Genomic DNA, 22,206 nt, shown 5'->3' with positions numbered 1-22,206 from the left:
AAGTCTATTTGTGCACAAAAGGAAAGAGGCACATACATGTGTGTGTATCAAAAATCCTTGCTGTATGTATGCTGGGAGTGAGAGAGACATTTTTATTAATACAAGCCAAACAGTGGGTGATGAGGAAAACAGATATATCAATGAAGAATCCTAGATATCCAGCTTCATTAACTGAATCAATAATTCTTCCATGAAGACAGACAAATTACATGTTGTACTGGAAAGTGGATTCTATTTTGGAATTAAGTTTCACCTGCATATGAAACATTAATGGCACCAAGAAGACAACTGGCTAAATTAATTAAAAGTTGAGGGAGAGATTTGGATTAGAGATAAATATTTGGAAATTATTTGGAAATATTTGGAAATACATGTAAATGTATTTAAAACCATGCACATAAATGACTCATTTAGGGAGACTCATTATCTAAAGAAATAGCGGTACAATGAGTCAGTAATTTCAGAGAGTAGGAGTATAGATGCATAAATGTGTCTAATTTTCTCCCTGGAAATCTCAAAAAAACCTACAGTTGATTAGATACAAAAGGGAGAAAATTGATATTTGAATTGAAACATTATTATTATTTTGTTAGATAAGTAAGATGAGATCACAGAGAAAAGGACATTTTAAAGCTGATTGTAAAGAAGTGTTTAAAACTGTAATCATGTGATCTCAGATGAGCAACAACAGAAGTGAAAACACTGTGTAGGTCTACAGGTTAGAGTCTTAATGAGGTTGAAGAATTTGTTCAGGGATATATTTGAATAAATGAGCCAGAGAAAGAGAAGTGGAGTTTAAATAGTGAGATGCTTGTTAACAGGACTGAATGTAGCATAGTTGCTAGTATAGGATGTATCCATGGAATTGGGTTACAAAGGTTCAATACATGTAAATGAGGGTTATGTGTCTGAGGAGAAAGAAAGATGCAAATGGCCTACACTTCTGCTATCAAAATAATTAAGAGGCAGAAATGAAAATTAATTTTAAAAAATTAAATTATATTCCATTCAGTTAACTTGACCTGTATCCATTTAGTAGCTGAAGCCAAAAACTCAAAATAATTGCTTAGTCCTTTCTTCCTTTGGAATATATTCCATCTTCATCAAATTCTTTAGGCACTACCTACATAAAATTTGGATTCTAATCATTTATTGCCACTTCTACTGCTACTGCTTCCACCATTGCGCTTCAGTAAATAATTCTTTCAGAAGCAATCACACTTCTATTTTCAAAATCCAACCTATAGCTTTTTCTTCTTAAAACTGTCCAATGATCTGTATCCCACTCTGCATAGGAATCAAAGTAATTACAAAGGCCATTACCCCTTTCTGCATCTCCAGTTGCTCTCTCCCTAACCACTGCCACAGAAGACTGGCTCCTGGGCATTCCCAAACATCACCAGGCACATTCTTGCCTCATGACATGTGAATTTGCTAATTTCTCATTCTGGTACTCTGAACTGCCTAAATCTGCTGGGTTCACGCTCTCATGTCATTTCAGTATTCACTCAGATATCACCTTCTCAGTTAAATTTTGTCTACTCAATTTAAAATTGGAACATACAGTGTCTACTGCTATTCTTATTCTCTGCTTTATTTTTCTTCAGAGCAATTAAACAGAATTAATAAATTAATAATATTTTATTATAGGTTAGTTCACTTATATATAATAAAGTTAAATATATAAAATATTAATAGAATTAATAAATTAAATATTTTATTTTATACAAGCAAACTAGTATATAATAAAGTATTATTTAATAAATTAATTATATTTACAATCTACCTGCAAGAAGGGCAATGTTTTTTAATTAAAATTTTAATATTTCCTTTACTACTTTTCACCAGAATTTAGAATGTCAGCACAAAATTGGATTTCAATATGGATTTATTATATGAATGGATGGACAGTTTTATTGAGGAATACTAGATGTATGTAAGTTTAGTATACTTTCTAATAAGTATTGTATTTATATTTATTAATGACATTTGTTTTCATATCTTGAGCACTGAAAATAAAAATTGCCCACTACCCTAATTAATTAACACGGGAGAAATTTTTGTAAAAAAGTAATTATTTTTTCCCATTGGTTTTCATAAAACAGTAGATAGATGGTGACAACTTGAACTACGCTGGTTCTCAATTCTGACCTTAACATTTAGAAAAAATATTTTTTAAAGCTTAGTTGTCTGAAAATATTCTGCTAAAATATTTGTATAGTTATGCAAATATTAACATGTCAAGCTCTAGAAGTCTTAAGTAAATCTAACAAGTGAGGCATACTTTTATCAGTTGTGATTTGGGTGTTTTAATACATCACGAAATTACTCAAAGCAAATCTGAAGCCAATTTTATTCTGACAAATGAACTTTTTTCAATTAATATTTTGAGTAAACGGTGTATGTCTCAGAAAATTCCCAAAATGCCATGAATGAATGCACAGGCTCATGGCTTACATTCAGTTGGCATTTCTCTTGGAAGCCACATCTTAATTTCATAATCAAGGCCTCCCACAGAAGATTCCTCTCACATTGGATACATGCCTGATTTATCTAGATGCAAGCCAACTAATTGCTGGGACAACAGATGGGTCTATTCAATCGATGTGCATATCTGCCAAATAAGGCTAAAAACGTCTCAAACTAAAATAAACTATCCCCCAAAATCAGTGCTTGATCAAATTGAACACACAAATATATAGCATTTGTATTCTTATTTTCATCTTTCTCAATGATAGGAAATTAGAAAAAGAAAATTATCTGAGTTGGGATAAAATTCTGCAAAATCCTACTATGATGAAGAATGTTAAAGATCTACCTATTGAAAATAAATTAATCTAAGTTGTCAATGCCAATAGTAATTAAATAACTGTCAGGCTAGCTAACAGTTGTTTTCTGGTTTTGTTTGTAATTTAAACTGTTATGGAGGTATGACAGCCAATGAATAGATCATAGTGGTCCTAATAGTATCTGACTCTTAATAATGTTGTTGTTGCTGCTTTTTATTTCTGGAGACTCTTAACATCTTATAAAAAAGCTGGATAATATTTATCAAAATGCTACCGCTCTCCAATTTGCGTATTTGTTTATGAACTCTTAAGTGAGTCAAGAGGTCTGCGATATTCATTCAATTGTCCTTGAATTAATCTCAATCAGGAACCATTAATTATCCACTAGAGCCCCAAATTCACAAAGATGAATTCTGTAGTATCTTTTTGAGGTTCAATCTTCATTTCTTGATGATCACCACAGTTAGTTTCAGTGGGGCAGTTCTCTAAATTTGTCCAGGCTTCTTCACATTAGCAGACTGGATTCGTAATCAGGAAAGATCTAAAAAAACTAAAAACAAACAACAAACACACAACCTAAAAATCCCTAAAAGCTCATCCATGTTTATTGGTGAATCATCAGGAGTCAGGTATTAATAGCTGTTATAATTTATGTCAATTATACATGGATATCCACGAACCCTTTGCTCTCTACCCCCTTTGCAAAAAAAAAAAAAAAAAAGCTAACTTGTGTTAATTCCTGTGGAATCAGAATCAACACCTCATAGCCCTACATGGAATATGGATTCATTATAATCCATAAACATATAAAGAGTTATCTGCTTACTACTGGGTAACTATTTCTAACATATGCTGTTATGGCTTGTATGGAATGTCTAAAACAAGTACAAATAACTACTTAAAATTGTTATTATAAGTCATGCCAGTATTTGAAGATGAATAATACCTGCAAATATTTGTACTTTTTACTAAATATAATATTTCACATTTTTCCGTTTGTCACTGTCTATTGTTTTTATTTGTTATTGGCCACCCTTAAAAAGGTAAATTGTTGAATAACTATGACACAATAGTTTATTCCCTATTCATATTTCTGCTTACTCATGAATTTTACTAGAGGAAAACCTTATTGCTTCATAAAAACAGAAAATAAATGAGATACTAAGAAAATAATGCTGTATACAATAAATTGTAAATTAAAAAATGTTTTATATAAAGTAAGTATGATTGAACCATATGAATTCTTCAGTTACTGACAGAGATACAGTTACATTCTTACCCATGTTTCTTAATTTAAGGGAACAGTGATTTACTTTAATTGGAATCTATTTCTTCAATGTTTCTTTGTTGGTGTACCAAGAATCACAGAGCATATGACTATAGATCCATAATGGGAAAAACTGCTTCTAATAGACTCCAGCCTTAATGCTGAATTAAATAATTGCAAATACCTTTTAACATAAACTATATGTGTATTTTTTTTAATTTCCCTACCCTCTCACTACTGTCATCAGGTATATATAATATTTTATCAAGACTGGTCTGCATTTTGTTGTATTGTAAAAAAACACTTTCAATAATTTTATGGATATTAAAAATAGTTTGGAATCTTTATTTTTTTCAGATAAAAGGCAACATTTAGAAGACTTGCTCTTTGGATCCTAGGTGCTCTCGTTCAGAGCTACGGTGACAACAACAATAATAATAGCTAAAATTTGTTCAGCACTTCATATGTGTCAGGAACTGTGCTAAATAATAGTGATATATGAGAAGTTAATATTTACAGGTACCAAGTGAGGTTTTTGCCAAACAGCTACCTTATTTTAATCAGCCAGAATTCTAGGGGAAGAAAAATGCACTAAAAATCAGATAAGGTATTTTTGCATTTCCAAATAATACCTTTGTTTTTTGTTATTTTAGGTTTTTTTGTTTGTTTTTAATCTAACATAGGACACAGGACATTAAGTTTGTGCCTTTAGCAACAGGTTATGAAGAGTGGATGGAAAGAAAGCATCTCATTTTTCCCTCAAATTAGATATATTAAAGGGATTAGGGGAAGAAGAATTAACAAACACGTTGAGGGAGTCTAAGAATAAAAGTATCAGAACTGGAAGAATGATAGGATAGCAATGGAGTCAGTAATCAGAGGCGTGCTCCACTCGGGTCCTAGGCTCTGTTTTCCTTAGACCAGAGTGGACACATGAGGACCATCTAGAGTCAAACAAGATATGCAGCATATATAACCAGGTTGAAAATCTACAGTGTAGTTCTTTCCATATGGCCGCACATGAGAATTTCCCATTAAAGTCAACTTTCATACATTTCATGATGAATCTAGAACAAAAATCAAATTCAAACTGAGGTTCTTGCATCACGACCACAACTACAAAAAATAGAAGAAATTGTGGATAAATAAAAAAAGTAAAGCTCTAGATATTGTGTTATGGAGGCACGTAAGTCTTAGCTGAAGACTGTAACTTGAAAGGAAGAAAGAAAACTTAAATTGCAAAATATTTTACTTTAGTTTTAAGTAGAGTTCTTTTTAACACCTGTAAAATACATGCTGTAAATATACTTAATCACCATTTAAATAGAATTCATATGCCTGAGTAATGGAGGCTGTCCATGGGTGCATTTCTTCTACCTTAAATTTAATACTTTGAAACCTAATACACAATAATGATAGTATTTAATAATGATCAGAGTAACTAACCATGAAGCTTAATCATGATTAAGAAGTAGCTACATATGTTGCTGCAGCAGTAAGGAGTCAGAAAATACAAACATTCAATTATCTTGTCAAATTCCTTTACATGTCCAACGATGACAGTGGTATAATTAAATTAATGTCATTTATGTAATTTTAATAAAATAATTAAATTATTCTGAAGTTTCCTTATGAAGATGCATTAAAATGAAAAAGAAATTCACTTTTAATAATTCTGACATTTAGTAATCTAATATTTCTAATATTGGCATCTGTTCTGCAAACTTCGCTATGGTTAAAAAGAAAAGAGATATGCAGTTAAATAAGAATGCCAATAAAAAAAGCTCATCATTCTTATTAAGTTTAAACAACATATTTTATGAAATTTTATTAATAAAATATTGTATTATCAGTGCTTTATTAAGAATCATGTTATAAAAATAGGTAAATTAATAGTGAAATCTTATGGGAGAATCTTGCTTAGTTTTGGGGATTTTTTTGCTTATTTTTGGAATTTTTTTCTTTTCTATTTTTTTTTTTTTTTTTTTTGCTATTTTAGAGCTTAATATTGAGGACAGACTTAAAAGTCCAATAATAGCATGATTTATTGCCTTGTGGAAGTTCATAATATAGCCATAAAAATCTTTATTAGTTTTAAATATTACCTATATATTTATTTCTATGAAATAAACCCACAAATATTTTAAATACTTTAATTAAGCTTATAGGCTAGAAAGAATGAAAGGTGGAGATGAGGAAAAAAAAAACGATACCATTAACAACTAGTGAACTCTTTCAGTTCATCTGTAAAAATCACATTGAACTACAGGACTGTGTCATGAAACAATTTTGTTAGATACATTCATGAGTTATTTATACTTATGTGGATATGGCTCATGAAATAGATATCATGAAAGAATATTAAATAAATGATTTAAAAGTATTAATATTAAATTATATCAGTAAGTATAAACACGAACATGTTTGAGATACTTTCTAGCATATATTACAATATGCTAGAATGATTAAGAACATAGGCTTTGGAATAAAGCAATTCTGAATTAAAATGTGCATCTCAAACTCTGTTACTTCTAGCCTTTGTAAACCATATTTACTTCTTAAAGAAGCCTAAGTTTCTTTTTGAAGGCTATTATATAATTTTTTAAAATGAGCAAAAGCTAGTTTAAACTTAGAGTTTCAATACATGGTTGTTATGATACCATTTAATAGGAGGTAAGACAAATTATGCATAAAAATATTAAAATTAAAATTAGAACTACCATAGGATCCAACAGTCCCACTTCCGTGTATAGTATCTTAAAAAAAATAAAATCAAGATCTCAAAGAAATATCTGCAATAGCCAAGATATGGAAACAACCTAAGTGTCTGCCCACAGATAAATTGATAATGAAAATGTGTATACCTACATAATAAGATAGTATTCATCCATAAAAATAAAAAACTGTCATTTGTGGTAACATGCATGATCCTGGAGGACATCATGCTAAGTGAAATAAGCCAGACGTAAAAAGACAAATACAGTGTGATCTCACTTATGTGTAGGATGTAAAAACCGTTAAACTCATAGAAACAGAGTAGAACAATGATTGTCCGAAGCTGGGGCATGAGGAAAATGGGGAGACGATAGTCAAAGGTGCAAACTTTCAGTTATAAGATGTCTACATTTTGGAGAGCTAATGGACAAATTGTCACAATCATAATACTGTATTGTTTACTTTAAATTTACTAAGAAGGTAGATCTTGTCTTCTTACCACACACACATGCAAAGGGTAACTGTAATGTTGGATATGTTGGTTATTTCAATTGTAGTAATAGTTATACAAAGCATAAGTATATAAAATCATCATGTTGTACATCTTGAGTATATACAATTTTTATTTGTAAATTACACCTTAATATAACCAGACCTAAACAAAAGAATGTCAAAGAGTCACAGGCTTTTAGAATAAACTAGCTTTTAAAAATAAAAATAAATAGAATTTGTCTAAGTTTATTAGAATATCTGCAATTGTGAAATTTAAGAGAGAGGGGGGCCGGGGGTGGTGGCTCACGCCTGTAATCCCAGCACTTTGGGAGGCCAAGGCGGGCGGATCACGGGGTAGGGAGATAGAGACCATCCTGGCTAACACGGTGAAACCCGGTCTCTACTAAAAAATACAAAAAATATTAGCCGGGCATGGTGGCGGCTGCCTCTAGTCCCAGCTACTCGGGAGGCTGAGGCAGGAGAATGGCGTGAACCCAGGAGGCGGAGCTTGCAGTGAGCAGAGATCGCGCCACTGCACTCCAGCCTGGGCGACAGAGCCCCAGACTCTGTCTCAAAAAAAAAAAAGAGAAAAAAAAAAGAAAAGAAATTTAAGAGAGAAGGTAACAAGAAACAAACCTGCATAAACAAAAATAATTCAATGCATTTGAAGGACATAAAAGTCCTGAATAAGTTAAGAGTGATCTATAGGTATAGGATAGTGCCTGCTACGTGGTACACTTTTTCTAAGTCTTGAAATGCAGCAATAAACAGAAATTATATTCTAATGAAGACAGCCAGGAATAAAAAGTGAACAAATAAACCCATTTGAAGTCATAGAAACTACAAGGAAAAAGTATAGTGGTGCAATTAGAAAAAGAGTTATGGGGAATAATATTATTTTACATTGATAAGGCAGGAAATATATTGTAATAAGTTGGTATTTAAGGAAACACTGGAAAAAGTGAGGGGACTGTCCATATGTTTGTGAGGAAAAAATATTTCCACTAAAATAAATTGATTGGTCATTTTGAGGAAATACAAGAAAACCAAACCAACTGGAGCAGTATTAACAAATGGAAGTGTGATGAAAGACAAAAAAAATCATTGTTAGCATACGAATGGGGTATTAATTATGGCCAATTAGGCCATGGAAAGTCTCTGAATGAGATGAAAAGCTATAATATGTCTTGAGTGGAAAAACTGTATACTTTTATTTAGATTTCCAATATATCTTAATGGCTGCTTGTTGAGATGGGCTTATGTAGAGCACATGGAAGCAGACAGAGCCATTCTAAGCCTCTTGTGGTCTATGGATATGGTGGCTTAAATTAGAGTTTGATAAGAGAGAGATAAAAACAATCATAAGATTATGATGGTATTTTAAAAGTAGAACATTGAAAATTTTCTGAATATTTTGAGATGTGAAAGCAAGAGAAAAAGATGATTGCATTTATTTGGTCTAAGCAACTGAAATTATAAAATTATCATTATTTGAGATGAAAAAGATGGATAATAGAGGAAATTTGATAATACTAGTGAGAGAAAATAGTATTTGGTTTGTAATAAGTTAAATGTATAGACATTCAAGTGAATACGCAAAGTTAGGAGTGGTATTTGAAGATATGAGTCTCAGGAAAGAAGATGAGGCTAGAAATAAAAAAAATAAAATCTTTACAGTGTATATGACATATAAAGCTATTAGAACAATGCATTTTCAAACATTTTGGTTACCAGTTACAAAACTTGAAGTTAGTATAGAAGCATGATCATGTTAAAATGTAATAGAAAACATAAGTTAGGGAAGGATAGGTTAGAATAAAAATATATAAATAGAATAAAAGTATATCCATATTTTGTGAACCTACTTTCAGGCTGGAATAATATATGTTATACATTTTATACTATGGATCATTTAAAAAAGTATTGAAAGCCAGTGTCTGGTCTCAGAAAACTGTAGGAGAGTTCTCTCAGAATGCTGTGTAATAATGAAACCGAGAATGGGAACTTAGCCCACTGCAGCTAAGAGATAGACAGGATTCCAAGCTGCTAAACTCAGAGGTAAACATGGATCAGAATAGAGAGAAAAATCTGGGACCTCTGGAGGCAAGAACCATACATGCTGGGGCAGGAGTGGGAGTGAGGAGTAGGAGACTATCCTGGACCACAGCAAAGAAACAAGTAGAGATGTCCTGAAACACAATGTGTGGACTATTGATCCCTGTAATGATAAAGGAGGAAGAAGTTATTCTAAGCCTTCTCCATGAGAAGGAGAAAAATGGGGAAAAATGTAAGAAAGAAATTATTTAAAGAGATAATTGTGGATTTTTCTAGATTCATACAGCACGAATCCACTAATTTCGGAAGTACAGAGTATTATAAACAAAATCAGTGTAAAGAAATCAGATACGTTGAATGGAACTAAGGAACACTGATAACAAAGACAAAATCTTAAAGGTAACCAATGGAAAAGGAGAGGTTGCATATAAAGGAAAGAAAAAAAGAAAGAATAACAGACCTTTCAACAAAAATAATGGAAAACAGAAAAACAGTAGAGAATAACTACAAATTTTGAGAGAAATAGTTGTCAACACATATGAACAAAACTATCATTTAGGAGCAAAGTTAAATCTCAACATTTATAGATAAAAATTGAGAAAATTTATACCAAAGTCTTCTTCCCTAAAGTGAAGCCTAAAAGAGGGACTTCAGGAAGTAAAAAATATTTACAAAGTATTGCTGGGATATAATGAAAAATATTTTTTTTAATCAAATAGAAATATCCAAACATTTTATAAAAATAAAATAGTAATAAAATAAAAATTATTACATGATTAAAAATAGGCAATCTTGAAAGATTTGACATCAATCATATAAGTTGTCTTCTAGACTTGCTCCCTGAGGTGACACTTGGACTTGAAAAAGGAGGAAGTTCATCCTCCTGGTTTGGAATTAAAGAGAATTGATGGTGGTCAAATTTAGGAATAATAACAGCTATTGTTTACTGAAACCCTGGAGTGCCAGTGATTGTTGAAGCTGTTAAGAATTTAATTGTAATTCTTGTGATAAAAAATGGTAAGTTTAAATCTACTAATCAGAAATTTAAAGCATAGTGAGCATGAGAAGACTTCAGAGTACTTAAAGGGATCTATATATGCAAATAGAGGGCAGAATTATCTGACTACCAGAATAGGACTTAATTGTAAAAGTTCAGAAATTCTGAAAGGGCTGTTTTTTTTCAGCCTAATCACATCTCTCAAGCAATATCAATAATGGATACTGGTTTAGATGATTGGTCAAGGGTCTAGAAGTACGATTAGAAGATGAGAGATTGGGAAGTCTCAGAGAGAGGCATGTGGAGGGACTCAGAGATGTACATATAAAGTGTGAGTACCTTCATATTCCACCAAGAACACCGAATCCTTCAGTGGCAACATCAAACTATGTTGACAGAATAACTCAGTGAGAAGTTAGTCTAGCTGTATCTTTAGTCAACACTGCGCTTTTGTAAGAGGATTATTATTATAGAAAACAAGTTTATTAAAAATGATGATTGCCCTTGAGTCCAAAAGTATGAGTTCTCTTTCACCAAGCTATATCTGGCTATTGTCGCTGCTGAATGTCCAACTGGTAGCCAACAGAGACCAAAGAGGCCGACCAGCCACTTGATGACAAGTTGATTACATAAGACCCTTACTAACGTTGAAAGAAAAATATTTTATCCTGCTCAGAATTGACACCATGTTGGAATATGTTTGCCTTTGGGACTGTAATATCACAGGCAGTAACTCTATTCAACAGTTCAGAGAATGTCTGATCTGCTGACATTAATCCTACATGACTTTGCTTCAGATTAAGTGTGCTGCATTACAGAAATGGTGATTCAGCAGTGTACTCATGATCACAGATCTACTGTTCTTACCAAAGAGGCTTAAACAAATAGCCTTTTAAAGTACAGCTGAGTTATCATCTTTAGATGGCAATTCAAGGTCATCGATACAAACAATGGGGAAGAGGAGGAATGTGCTTGAGACCTAAGTAACCAAATGGAATGACTCTTTTTACTCTTATGTGTAGTTGCAACTAAAAATGGACAAGTGCAGCAATCACAGCCTGATAAGGGCATGGGATCCAGGTCTCAGAACCCTCAATAGTGCAGGTCTGGTTCACTCTACAAGGTCAACAACTAGACAAGAAGTGCTGCTATGCCAGATGGAGAAGAGTCTAAAATTTGGGATGGAGGAAAAGTGTCAGTTGTCCTAATTAACTGCAGCAGTGGCCTGCAACCAACAACAGCAGTGAAATATTTAATTAAATCTGCTATCCTGTCTCTTCTAAGCATTCCCAGCAATCTGACCAACAACAATTCTGGAAAATATGCAACTAGATGGATTATGAATATGAAGAATAAGTTCAATTAAACAAATCTTAGTGGATGCACTCAGCTATTTATCTTGATTTTCTTTACTGCCAGTTGTACCTACCTACCAGGTGCTAATAGTGATACCTTCTAATGATTCTTTTGCTGTACTCCTCTCAGCATTGTTCTGGGTTAAAAGGGCCAGCTCTCCTGAGAGATTATGCTACAACACCTCCAAAGTGGCAACAGGCAGACTTTGACAAACTGATATGAAGTTACAAAATGTTAGTTTCCTTGGATTAAAAAGTGGGATCAGGCCATGCACGGTGGCTCACACCTGTAATCCCAGCACTTTGGAAGGTCGAAGAGGGTGGATTACCTGAGGTCAGGAGTTCAAGACTAGCCTGGCCAACATGGTGAAACCCCGTCTCCCCCATCTCCCCCATCTCCCCCACAAAAAATACAAAAATTAGCTGGGCATAGTGGCAGGTGCCTGTAGTCCCACCTATTCAGGAGGGTGAGGCAGGAGAATTGCTTGAACCCGGAAGATGGAGGTCAAAGTGAGTCAAGATTGCATCACTACACTTCAGCCTGGGCAACAGAGTGAAACTCCGTCTCAAAGAAAAAAGAAAGGAAAGAAAAGTGAGATCAACTCAGGGATATAAATTCCAGAGTGCTCCAAGGTATCAGACACTTGCTAGAATGCCACCCTTGCTTAGTCTTTTTCTAATGTTCTATCCTGCTTCTGTCATTTATTTTTATGGCAAGGATTCATTCAAATAAAAAACAAAAGCAGAACTCCTCTTATAACTGTTTCTAGAAAACTCAAATTAAGATATACTTTGCTCTAAAAATTGCTATAGAATGCACATTTCAAAAACAGAGACATAAACAGATACAGAAATCAGAGAAATGATCCAAAGGGAGAGATGAAAACATTATAGTTTTTCTGTGCTCGAAATCTGTGTAGAATCAATGGAGATTTTGGAAAAAGAGTGGCAAAGGTAATAAAGGTGAGACTGAAACAGATTAAAAGTCTCTGTCATAGTAGTTTGACTTACTGTTACAAAATATCATAGATTGAAGAGTTTACAAAAAAAAGAAATTTATTTCTCATAGAAATGGAATCTGAAAGTCTAAGATTAGAGGGCCAACGTGGTCAAATTCTGGTGAGGGCTTTCTTCTGTGTTGCAAACTGTTCTCTTCTCATTTTATCCTCACTAGGTGGAAAGGGAACAAGCTAGCCCTCTGGGGTCCCTTTTATGAGAGCACTAATCCCATTCATGAGGGTTCTATCTTGATTTCAACATATGAATTTCAAGGCAATACCAACTTTCAGTCCATTGCAGACTTCAAATTGGACCTTTATAGTTTAACTTTTCATATTTAAAATTTCATCTTTAAGGGCTGAAACTGAAAATTATTGATGACATTTGAATGTACCAATAAAAAATAGCAGTAAGTCACAAATTGAAAGTGTAGTAAATATGCATAAAGGTAATCACATTTTTGAAAAAATGTGGTTAATGATTAACTTCAGGAAAAATCAAAAGTCATGTAGGTGTGAAAAATTATATATATATATAATATAACAGCATAGTAAAATGTAGCTCTCAAACCTTTGTGTTATAAACTCTTTACCTTTAAGTTCATTTAGTGAAAAACTCAATTTTTAATCTGGAAATGTAATCATTTTATATTTTTAAAATATTATTTCACACATTTTAATGGAATTTTAGGTAGACCATTATATTTCCCAAAAATAATCTTCACTGGTTCTGGGTTCTAGTATTACTGATAAAAGTAATCTTTGTCAGTTTTTAAGTAAAATAGTATCTAGGTTTATATTTTTTTCATTATCTTAGAATTTGTTGTGCTTTATATATCTAACAGTATGTTTCTTAACTCTTCTTTATTAAAAAAAATTGTGATAATATTATTCTCTCCTGGAAGTTTTTCTATGTTAAGGTCGGTCCTTCTCCAAATATCTTCCAAATATCTGTACTCTTTCTTCATAATTTTGATCTCTGTTTCTCTGCATTGCATTTTGTTTAATTTCTTCAGGTCTATTTTCTTCTGCACTACTTTTCTTCTTCAACTGTGCCAAATTGGCTGCTTAAACCCATAATTTTAATTTTAAATATTATCATTATTCACAAGTTATCATCTGAATTTGAGAGTTTCGGGACTTTGTTATCATTTTCAAATATGTCTGGTATTTATAACGGTATTATGATAATTAAATAAATTTTCATTTCTTTTAAATACCAACTATAGTGATATAATAGCCTATAATGTAAGATTTTTGTTTTTGAAGTCTTAAATTCTGATATTATTTTACACAATTTTTTGTCTACTGTTAAGAAAATTTGTATGATGTTTTGTGATTATTTATTTATTTTTATTTATTTATTTATTTTATTATGCTTTAAGTTCTAAGGCACATGTGCACAAAGTGCAGGTTTGTTACATATGTATACATGTGCCATGTTGGTGTGCTGCACCCATGAACTCGTCATTTAGCATTAGGTATATCTCTTAATGCTGTCCCTCCCCGCTCCCCCCACCCCACAACAGGCCCCGGTGTGTGATGTTCCCCTTCGTGCGTCCATGTGTTCTCATTGTTCAGTTCTCACCTATGAGTGAGAACATGCGGTGTTTGGATTTTTGTCCTTGCGATAGTTTGCTGAGAACGATGGTTTCCAGCTTCATCCATGTTTTGTGATTCTTGACAAATTTTTCATTAGAAATTGTCATTATTTAAGTTCCCAATTTAGAATATTTTCATCTTGCAGAGATTGGCTTCTGTCCCTGCCATATGTCTAAAGCAGTTAAAAAAGAGTAGACACTTCAAAAGAAGACATACATACAGACAACAAGCATGTGAAAAAAATGCTTAACACCAATAATCATTAGAGAAATGCAAATAAAAACCACAATGAGATACTATCGCACAAGGGTCAGAATAGGTACTATTAAAAAGTCAAAAAAATAGCAAATGCTGGTGAGGTTGCAGAGAAAAGGCAACACATACACTTCCAGTCGGGGTGTGAATTAGGTCAGCCACACTGGACGGCAGTTTGGAGAATTCTAGAAAACCTTAAAACAAATTACCATTCAACCTAGCAACCCCACTAGTGGGTATATACCTGAAAGAAAATGAATCGTTATACTATAAAGACACATGCATGTGTATGTTCATCACGGCACTATTCAGAACAGCAAAGACATAGAATCAACCTAAATGCTCATTGACAGCAGACTGGATAAAAAAAAAAAAATGAGGTACGTACACATCATGGAATACTAGGCAGTCATAAAAAGAAAGATCATGTCCATCACAGCAACGTGGATAAACCTGGAGGACATTATCCTAAGCAAACTGACACAGTAGCAGAAAACCAAATACCGTATGTTCTCACTTATAAGTGAGAGCTAAATATTGAGTACACACTGACACAAAGAAAGGAACAACAGATGCCAGGGCCTACTCAATGGGGGAGGCACGTGGAAAGATGAGGATCTAAAAACTACCTATCAGATATTATGATAATTACCTGGATGATGAAATGTTCTGTACACCAAACCCTAAAACATACAATTTACCTGTTTAACAAACCTGCACATGTACCACTAAGCTTAAAATAAAAACTAACAAAATAAAAATAAAATAGAGTAATATAATTTACGTGTGTGTGTGTGTGCTGTGTGTGTGTGTGTTGTATGTGTGTGTGTTTGCAGAGAATGTGAAGAGTATGAACTCAGGTCCCAAATCCAAGTGAAACCCAGTCGATGGCTACAAAGTCAAAGGGACATGTTTTTCTCCATTTTATTCAGATCAAATTTGATCCAAACAAATATTGTTATTTTCTACTCTGTTGGACAGTATTTTTATTATAGTTTTGTTATGCAGTTTATTCAATTTCTCTTAGGATGATGCCCAATCTGTGGGTGTCATGTGGAATATGGTCATCTCAACCAATTCACCATTTGGCAAAAGCTTTGCTTATAGATTCCGGTGTGTTATTTGGATAAAGTTTTAATATAGACTAGAACCACCATTCTCCGTATATATTGGCACTTGCTTCTTTCTTGCTCTCTGATGATTTCTTTGAATTCTTGCAAAATTAGCTGGAATTTATTCATTATCGAAATATATATTCAACGAGAATTTTAATTGGTTTTGTAAAAGAAGAATTTCAGCTTATTTATTCCATTAAAATATCAGAAAATTTAGCTATCAATGTACATTTTGTTAAAGTTTTATAAGAGATGGAGACAATTTATATTATTAATTCTTTATCTTTTAACATTGTCCTTCCCTTCTGTCATATAGTTCCCTTTTAACTGATGTGCCTCACTTTGAACTCCATCTTGCCAGTTTCTATTTATATTCAGACTGACCTTTCAACAGACTTTTCAAACACAGCATTTTCTTACGCAGGAAAATCTCTTTCTCAACTTCTTTCTCACGTTTGTATGACTTCTTCAGATTCATGCTCTGTTTCTCACTTTCAAAGATAATGAGGAATCAGATATGGGAAAAATTAAAGAAAGCAAATATATCCAGCCAACAAAGAAACAAACAAAAATGTTGAAAATAAATTTAAAAGTTTTAAATATTGAACTATATAAATTCATAGCTATAAATCTCTAACATTTTCACTATTGATACTTCATCATAATCTCCAGAATCAACTTATGGTATTTTAAAAGCCACTTTAAATATTACTAAGAGTTACACTACATAAAAAAGTACTTAAAATATTGTTTTGGCAATATTTAGATTTATCTTTTATTTACTTTTTTTGTCAGTGAGTAATAATTGTAATTTTCTATGTAGCATTGAACATATTTCATGATTTTTAGGTTTTTTTCTTAATTGTTTCTTTCACTGTCTGCTACATGCCAAAGACCTCATCCTTCTTTTATTTCTTTTTATTTTTGGACAGAGTCTTGCTCTGTCGCCCAGGTTGGAGTGCAGTGGCACAATCTCGGCTCACTGCAACTTCTGCCTCCTGGGTTCAAGCGATTCTTCTGCTTCACCCTCCTGAGCAGCTGGGACCACAGGTGCACACCGCCACGCCCGGCTATTTTTTTGTATTTTTAGTAGAGACGGAGTTCACCATGTTAGTGAGGCTGGTCTCGAACTCCTGACCTCGTGATCCGCCCGCCTTGGCCTCCCAAAGTGCTGGGATAACAGGTGTGAGCCACTGTGCCCAGCCCCTTCTTTTATTTCTAAAGTTTCAATCTCAATCCTCCCTTGGATTTTTTTTCCATTAACTGCTTTCCATTTAAATGGCTTACTATCAACTGGTATATGCCTGATATCTATCAATAAACTGTTTCAGTCTACTATGGTTTCATTTGTTATGAATTGTCTGACCGCCCATTACAAGTTATGTTTTCATGATTGCCACTCTCTTTCATGTCTCTCTATTCTGTTCATACAACTTACCAGAATGGAATAGTGCTGTCACATAGTAGATGCTAAGTAAATATGTTTAATAAAATAAAGATACAGAGCAGTATCTTCCAAACTTTTACAACACTTTTGAAACAGAGCTATTGATTTTTGTAAAATCTCTTCCCCCAAAATCCTTTAAAACTATCACCTGAGTAGTTTGGTGGGTAGCGTATGACACTGACTGATAGATTTTTAAAACCAGGGAGAATAGCATTCTCCAGTGACTACCTAACTTTGGATAATAAATCCTTACATAGAATCCATTTTTATTGTCAAAGCTTGGAAGATTAACTGCAGTTAAGAAGTAGAGAGAATAAAAGTAATCAAATGAGGAAGAACTACTACATGTTTTATAGCCTTTTGGACTTTACAGAGGATATAAAAAATTGAGTAAGGCACAATCTAAGAACAGAGTTAAAAGTCAGAAGTGTCATTGATTGATTTCTGAAGACTATGCACATCAGTTCAAAGAACCAGACTAAGTCAAAGTTGTCGTTCTACAGCTCATAAAGTTACTTGAATATTGTTAATCAGAATTCATTAACACAGTTGCATGAATATTTTTGGAAGAGCATTCTTTGTTTTTTTTCAGCCTTCATCATTTCTTAGTCACTAATACTGTAAATATGAGCAATCTGTTATTTTATGTTATCTATACATGTAAAGAAACAACAAAATGGCTGCATTTTCTCATTTCTTACATAATGTGTAACAAGTAAATATAACCACTGATTTCAATATTTATTTCTGAACTATAATTAAATAGAAATGTGTCTGAGTCTCATTCATTAGGATTAAATTTCCTTCCACAAGATATTTGAAAATCTGTCACTTTTGTGGGATTATTTTACGTATATATTTACAAAATCAGAATTTGAAGGTAAAAATCAAATTGCTTTTGTTTAATTCATATGAATCCCAACTCATGAGTCATGCAATTTGCTCTTTTTCAATAACTAAAAAGGTGAAATGTGAAAGGTTTAATTTGATACTTTAATATAGTAAATGTAGGCCATTTGTATAAATTACTTGTTTTTCAAACGCAATTTTCTGTTTTTGTATTACTTATGCAAAAAACAAAACCCAAGCCAGTACAGAGATACATCTAGAACAGTTATATAGTTAATAAGGTCACCACAAATGGTAGACCTCCCACTATAAGTCTGGCATTTTTATTTTCCTCTCTTTTACCTTCTGTCTTCCTTTATTTCACCATTTCTTCTTAATTGGAAAAGATACTGTGGTAAGAACTGCCACAGGTAAAAAGAAATGTTTACTAATTGGTTCCTGTGTTTTAGAGGCATGTATTCAAATCATGGTGAAGAGAAGAAAAACGTCATAAAAGAAAAAAATTATTTTTTAAATCATGCAGATAAAGAAAACAAAAGTGCCTAGATTATTGTTAGAAAACCCTTTAGTGAAAAGAATATGAACAGTATTCTTACTTCTGGAAGGCTATCTGCAAGAACTCCTGGGAAAAGGTTAAATGTTAAAAAAGAGTGGCTTTGGCTGGGTGCAGTGGCTCACGCCTGTAATCCCAGCACTTTGGGAGGCCAAGGCGGATGGATTACCGGAGGTCAGGAGTTCAAGCCCAGCCTGCCCAACATGATGAACTCTCCTTCTCTACTAAAGATACAAAAATTAGCCGGGCGTGGTGGCATGAGCCTGAGAGAAGGATGAGGCAGGAGAATCCCTTGAACCCAGGAGGCAGAAGTGTCAGTGAGCCGAGATTGTGCCATTGCACTCCAGCCTGAGCAAAAAGAATGAAATTCTGTCTCAAAAAAAAAAAAAAAAAAAAAAAAAAAAGAGTGGCTTTTCACAGAAGAAATCTTGTCCCCCAGGAGATATTTGGCAATGTGTAGAGGCATGTTTGGTTGTCACAACTGAGGTAGGTGTTCTTAGAATTTAGTATGTAGAAGCCAAGAGTTAAGTATCGTGCAATGCATAGGATAGCCTCCTGCAACAAAGAATTTTCCAGCTCCAATGGTAAATAGTATCAAGATTGAGAAAACCTATTCTGGAAAAGTTAAATAAAACTATATTCCACAAATATTAACGTTTCTTCATGAATTTCACCACTATGGGAGCATTCTCATTGTTGCAATTTGGGAATTTGAAGAAAAGTAAATAGATGTAATGTTAATGTGTAATTTAAAGCTCAATAAATAAAACTAACTAAAATTACAATATTTTGTTTGCAATATTTAATAGTTATGTTAATCATTCTTTTTAACATTCACAGTGTAATTGTTTTCACTTCTTAAAACATAAATTCAGTTTACACTTAGATCATACAGTATATATATATATATTAAATATGTGGACGGTTCCTTGCTTATCTCATCAGGATGCCTGTGATTCTCTACTGGAAACTCCTTTATATTTTCTTCTCCATGGTTCCTGCCTTTGATCTCTGAGAGAGCCTTGCTTGCTCATTATCCTCAATACCTGAGTCTGAAGTTGTTGTTTGAGTGTAAGCTTCCTTATTGGCCAGTTTCCTCAGACTGCTTTCTGCTGATACATGGTGGACAACAATTGTTGCTTTAGGGACTGGAAAAAAGGCTTTCACAGAATGATTTTTTTTTGTTGTTTTCTTTGAAATAACATTGTCTCAATAAAACAGTAAGTTTCAAGTCTATTTTCTTAATACACTACCAAGTGGAACTAATAAAACCCACAGATCCCTTCTTGAGTATATTTGTCTCCTGACTCTTATTTATTTACTGCTCTCTGTGTCTGACCTGTCCATTTGTCCTTCATTTAAATTGTGGCAACCTTAAGGCTATCAAAATTGTAAGATTGGATGTTACAGCATTAATCTCAAATCAAAATTTTGCTATTGGGCTGCCCCACTGTCTAACCAAGACTATTTAATAGAAAGCTATTTAAGGAGATCCTCAGTAAAAATATTTTCTTGTCTTAATTTGGAAACTAATTTCATTGGCTGCCTTACTCTGTTAATTTACATTACAGACCTAGCAAAAATGTTTGTTGTTGGGAGAACTCTATTTTCCAATTATTTCTTGTGTGCTTGTTTCTCTTCCCTAATCTGGTACTTGCTAAAAATGAAAACATCAGAACACACATATGCGCACCAATAATTTGAATCTTTCTACCATTTGCTTTGGAATTATAGACTTAATAGCTATATGATATGTCTTTCAAGTTGTTATAGAATATTACTAAATGATTTACTATAGAATAACAGGGAAGCACCTGCTTTCCAGCCTGGAATGTTTGTTTTTTGCTTGCTATAGCTTGAATGCAAAATCATGCCATTTTGTTTAGTTTTCTTGATGACGGCACTCTACTTCTAAGTATAAATTAATATATTTTTAAGGTATATGCTACACTTACTTAATAATGAGATTCCCAAATCAAGCGGCTCAAACAAAAGTGTAGCTTATTCATCTATTTCCTAGCAGTCCAGTAATAGTACAAGGTCAAAGGCAGAGAGCTTGCTCTAGTCTACAAAGTCAAAGAGGTTTAGGTGCACTTCTTAGTAGCTTCCATCTTATTACTCTGTCATCTCTAGGTTGTGGCTGTTTTCCACACTGTTACACCTTCCCAAATCACATGTTCTATCACATGACAAGGTGCAAAGTTAGAAAATGGAAGTCAAGCAATTATTTAAACATAAAGCAAAAATTCACAGTTTGTAATATATCCATTCTAATAATCCATATCTAATTGTAAAATCCTAGTCACAAACACATAGTTAACTGTGAGGGAAGTGAAAAAGGGTTCAAAAAAGCCATACCACTAGCTAAATCTTGAAGATGGTATTGTATAGAGAAAGAGGAAACGAATAATTGTGGATAAGCTGCAATCTCTGCTAAAATATATTTCTAAAGAACTTTAAGGGGAGGGAAGGCCACTGAGAGGCTTGATGTATAATCACTGGTGTGTAGCCACGTTGATTATATATGATGAGGTGATAAAAGCAAGTTGCCAACTGATGCTAATATGATTATATTTTAGTAAAATGAGCAAACAAAATAATTTTGTTACATGGAGATGTAAATATAAGACTCAATAATATTGGCAAAGGAGACACACAGTGAGATAAGGAGGTGGAGGATGGAAAGACATGATTAGGTTGGCTTTTATACATTTTTTACTACATTATTTCACGTGATAAAATAATACTTTGTAACAGTTTTAATGTCAAAAATAAGAAACCAAAAAGGTTCCTAGAGCATCTTACTAGAAGCTATTTTGAGTCTGAAAAATTTTGTCATTAGACCTCATTATTCCAATAATTGACCATGCTTTTCTTCTTTCATCAAATAATTTATCAGTACCTATTATATGCAAGGAGGCTATAGAAAAGGATAAGGATGCAACCATAAATAATTTAGAAATTATTCTTGACTTTATGAAACCTACACTTCAGTGGTATATATAGAGAAATAACCAAGAATTTAAATGTAGGGCGATCCATTCTCTGATAAGTCAAATACTGAAGCATAAGCTATGAGAGCTCTTGAAAGAGTTACCTAACTGAAATTTAGGGGACAGAAGATGTACCCCAGCGATGTAGCACTGAGGTGAAAGCCAAAAGATCTATAAGAATTACCCAAGGGGGGGCTGGGCGTGGTGGCTCACAAATGTAATCTCAGCACTTTGGGAGGCTGAGGCGGGCAGATCAGCTGAGGTCAGGATTTCAAGACCAGACAGGCCAACATGGTGAAACCCCGTCTCTACTAAAAATACAAAAATTAGCGTGGCATGGTGGCAAGTGCCTGTAATCCCAGCTACTTAGGAGGCTGAGGCAGGAGAATCACTTGAACCTGGGAGGCAGAGGTTGCAGTGAACCGAGATGGAGCCATTGCACTCCAGCCTGGGCGACAAGAGTGAGACTTCATCTGAAAACAAAAACAAACAAACAAACAAAAAAAAAACAAGAATTATCCAAGGGAAGAAGAAAGGAAGAGTGTCATTGACAGAATAATGGGTTTATTAATATCAAAGTAAGAGATACTTGACTTAGAAAAATAGCAAGATGAGAAATACCACTGAGTCCAGGTTAAAAAAAAAATCTAATAACAGAAGGGTTTTCTTTAAGAAGATATATTTTAATTTGGTCACAAAGGCAGTTTTAAAATTTACAAAACAA

The 22,206-nt window shown here is 33.4% G+C and overlaps 1 long non-coding RNA gene across 9 annotated transcripts in view; it reads right to left on the bottom strand.

The window, feature by feature from the left end:
* LOC105377254 (uncharacterized) overlaps positions 1–22,206 on the bottom strand; it is a 33,412-nt gene that overhangs the window by 6,044 nt on the left and 5,162 nt on the right. For 5 of the 9 annotated variants that reach the window (XR_938821.2, XR_938819.2, XR_938822.2 and 2 more), the window contains 2 exons: positions 16,025–16,131; positions 2,337–3,339 (listed from right to left, as the gene is read on the bottom strand). This is a non-coding gene — a long non-coding RNA (uncharacterized LOC105377254). Of the gene's footprint in view, positions 1–2,336; positions 3,340–16,024; positions 16,132–19,535; positions 19,650–22,206 lie in introns of those variants that run through there. The other 4 variants (XR_938820.2, XR_938825.2, XR_938826.2 and 1 more) reach the window with 3 other exon arrangements.

This window comes from Homo sapiens, chromosome 4 (assembly GCF_000001405.40).
Source record: "Homo sapiens chromosome 4, GRCh38.p14 Primary Assembly".
NCBI classification, from domain to species: Eukaryota; Metazoa; Chordata; class Mammalia; order Primates; family Hominidae; genus Homo; species Homo sapiens.
This window is presented reverse-complemented; position numbering and strand designations above follow the sequence as displayed.